A 4,153-nucleotide genomic window follows, 5' to 3' on the forward strand; every position below is an offset into this window, starting at 1 on the left:
GCATCATGCTGACACCAAAACCTGGCAGAGACACAATAAAAAGAATTTCAGGCCAATATCCCTGATAAACATTGATGAGAAAATCTTCAATAAAATACTGGCAAACCAAATCCAGCAGCACATCGAAGAGCTTTTCCACCATGATCAAGTCAGCTTCATCCCTACAATGCAATGCTGGTTCAACATCCACAAATCAATAAACATAATCCATCACATAAACAGAACCAATGACAAAAACGACATGATTATCTCAATAGATGCAGAAAAGATCTTCAATAAAATTCAACGTCTCTTCATGTTAAAAACTCTCAATAAACTAGGTATTGATGGAACATACTCAAAATAATAAGCATTATTTGTGACAACCCACAGTCAATATACTGAATGGGCAAAAGCAGAAAGCATTCCCTTTGAAAACCAGCACAGGAAAAGGATACCCTCTCTTACCACACCACTCATATGCAACATAGTATTGAAAGTTCTGGCCAGGAAAAGCAGTGAAGAGAAAGAAATAAAGTGTATTTAAATAGGAAGAGGGGAAGTCAAGTTGTCTCTTTTTGCACATGATGTGATCCTGTATTTAGAAAACCCCATTGTCTCAGCCCCAAAATTCCTTAACCTGATAAGAAACTTCAGCAAAGTCTCAGGATACAAAATCGATGTGCAAAAATCACAAGAATTCCCATACACCAACAATAGACAAGCAGAGAGCCAAATCATGAATGACCTCCCAATTCACAATTGCTACAAAGAGAATAAAATACCTAGGAATACAGCTAACAAGGGACATGAAGGACCTTTTCAAGGAGAACTACAAACCACTGCTCAAGGAAATGAGAGAGGGCAGACATAAACGGAAGAACATTCCATTCTCATGGATAGGGAGAATCAATATCATGAAAATGGCCATACTGCCCAAAGTAATTTATACATTCAATTCTATTCCCATGAAACTACCATTGACATTATTAACAGAAAAAAACTACTTTAAGATTCATATGGAACCAAAAAAGAGCCCACATAGCCAAGATAATCCTAAGCAAAAAGAACAAAGCTGGAGGCATCACACTACCTGACTTCAAACTATACTATGAGGCTACAGTAACTAAAACAGCATGGTACTGGGACCAAAACAGACATATAGATCAATAGAACATAATAGAGACCTTAGAATTAAAATCACATATCTACAACCATCTGATTTTCAACAAACCTGACAAAAACAAGCATGGAGAAAGGATTCCTTATTTAATAAATGGTGCTTGGAAAACTGGCTAGCCATATGCAGTAAGCCGAAATGGGACCCCTTCCTTACACCTTATATACAAATTAACTCAAAATAGATTAAAACCCAAAGCCATAAAAATCCTAGAAGAAAACCTAGGCAATACCATTCAGGACATAGACATGGGCAAAGATTTTAGGGTGAAATCATCAAAAGCAATTGCAATGAAAGCAAAAATTGGAAAATGGGATCTAGTTAAACTAAAGAGCTTCTGCAATAGGAAAAGAAACTATCATCAAAGTGAAGAGGTGACCTGCAGAATGGGAGAATATTTTCACAATCTACCCATCTAACAAAGGCCTAATATCCGGAATCTACAAGGATCCTAAACAAATTTACAAGAAAGAAACAAATAACCCCATTGAAAAATGGGCAAAGGATATGAACAGACACTTCTGAAAAGAAGGCATTTATGTGGCCAACAAACATATGAAAAAAAGCTCAACATCTTTTTTTAGAGATCATTAGAAAAATGCCAGTCAAAACCACAATGAGATACCATGTCACACCAGTCAGGTGCCGATTATTAAAAAGTCAAGAAATAACAGATGCTCACGAGGCTGTGGAGAAATAGGAACACTATTACATTGTTGGTGAGAATGCAAATTAGTTCAACCATTTTGGAAGACAGTGTGGTGATTCCTCAAGGATCTAGAACCAGAAATACCATATGACCCAGCAAATCCATTACTGAGAATATACCCAAAGGAATATAAATTATTCAGTTCTAAAGATACCTTCGCCTGTATGTTTCTTGCAGCAATATTCCCAATAGCAAAGAGATGGAACCAACCCAAATGCCCATCAGTGATAGACTGGATAAAGGAAATGTGGCACATATACACCATGGAATACTATGCAGCCACAGAAATGAATGAGATCATGTCATTTGCAGGGACATGGATGAAGCTGGAAGCCATCATTCTCAGAAAACTAACACAGGAACAGAAGACCAAACACCACGTGTTCTCATTCATAAGTGGGAGATGAACAATGAGAGCATATGGACACAGGGAGAGGAACAACAGACACTGTGGCCTGTTGGGGGTCGAGGGAGCAAGGGAAGGGAGAACATCAGGACAAACAGCTAATGCATATGGGGCTTAAAATCTAGGTGATGGGTTGATAGGTGCAGCAAACTACCATGGCACATCTACACCTATGTAGCAAAACTGCGTGTTCTGCACATGTATCCTGGAACTTAAAAAAGTAAAAAAGAAAAAAAAATAGAGAAAGAAACAAAATAAGTTAGGTTACTTTTCTTGTTTTACTTTTACAGGTTGTTACATAAATTGGCAAAGATGGCTCCTGTGTATTGACCTAAAATGGCTTCATGTTGTGTACTTGTTTACAGCAGCCCAAAGTTTACCAGTACTAAACTCAAACTCTTAAACACCAAATTATTTAAAATATAGTCCAAAGAAGCATATTTTTAGTCTGTTAGAGCCTATTTGTACACTCTTCAAAACTGCACCTCATGAATAAGAGTTAGGGAAGGAAGTGGAGCAATACTGTCAAATAGAACCTTCCAGCAATCATCCTCACCCCCACAGGAACACCTAATTGAGCAAATATCCACACAAGAACGTACCTTCATAAGAACCACCAATTAGGTTAGTAATCACAGTACCTGGTTTCAACATTATATCAAGGACAGAGGCGTTGAAGAGGAAAAGAAAGACAGTCTTAAATTGCCAACGCCACCCCTCCTCCATCCTCCTGCAGGTTCAGTGGCTGCAGGGTGTGGAGAGAGAACATGTACATATGGGGAAGTGAAAGCCCAGTAGTTGTGGGACATTACATTGGAACTCAGTGGTTCCCTATTACTGTGGAAAACAACACGGGGCAGAATTCAGCTGGTTCCCATGGAGGGAGCATTTGGACCAGCCCTAGCCAGAAAAGAAGTGTTCATCCCAGCAGTTGGGACTTGAGTCCTGGTAAGCCCCACCACCATGGGTTAAAGCACTCTGAGGTCACAAGAAAACCTGAAAGGCAGTCTAGGACACAAGGACTGCAATTCCTGGGCAATTCCTGCAATTCCTGGTGCTGTACTGGGCTAGCATTGGACAAATCATCCAGATGGAAACAAAGAAACATTGGACTTAATCTGCACTACAGACCAAATGGACCCAGTAGAAAATTAAAGAACATTTTATACAGCAACTGCAAAATACACATTTTCTTCTCAGCTCATGGATCATTCCCAAGGATAGACCATATGTTAGGCCACAAAACATGTTTTAAAAAATTCAAAAAAATTGAAATCATATCAAGTATATTATCTGCCCACAATGGAATAAAACTAGAAATCAATAATAAGAGGACCTTTGAAAGCTATACAAATACATGGAAATTAAACAATATGCTTCTGAGTGTTCAGAGTGTCAATGAAGAAATTAAGAAGAAAGCTGTAACATTTTGAAACAAACGAAAATGGAAACACATGACATCAAAACTTATGGAATGCAGAAAAAGCAGTACCCAGAGGAAAGTTTAAAACAATAAGCACCTACCTCAAAAAAGGAGAAAAACTTCAAATAAACAACTTTAACAATGCATATTAAAGAATTAGAAAAGCAAGAACAAACCAAATCCCAAACTAGTAGAAGAAAATAAATTATAAAGATCATAACAGAGGTAAATAAAATTGAAATGAAGAAAAAAATACAAAAATGAAACCAAAAGTTTGTTTTTTGACAAGATAAACAAAATCCACAAACCTTTAGCCAGACTAAGAAAAGAGGGAAGAACCAAATAAATAAAATCAGAGCTGAAAAAAGTCATTAAAACTGATAATGCAGAAATTCAAAGAATTATTAGAGACTACCGTGAGCAATTATATGCCAACAAATTGAAAAAGCTAGAAGA

Source organism: Homo sapiens, chromosome 3 (genome assembly GCF_000001405.40).
Source record: "Homo sapiens chromosome 3, GRCh38.p14 Primary Assembly".
Lineage (NCBI taxonomy): Eukaryota > Metazoa > Chordata > Mammalia > Primates > Hominidae > Homo > Homo sapiens.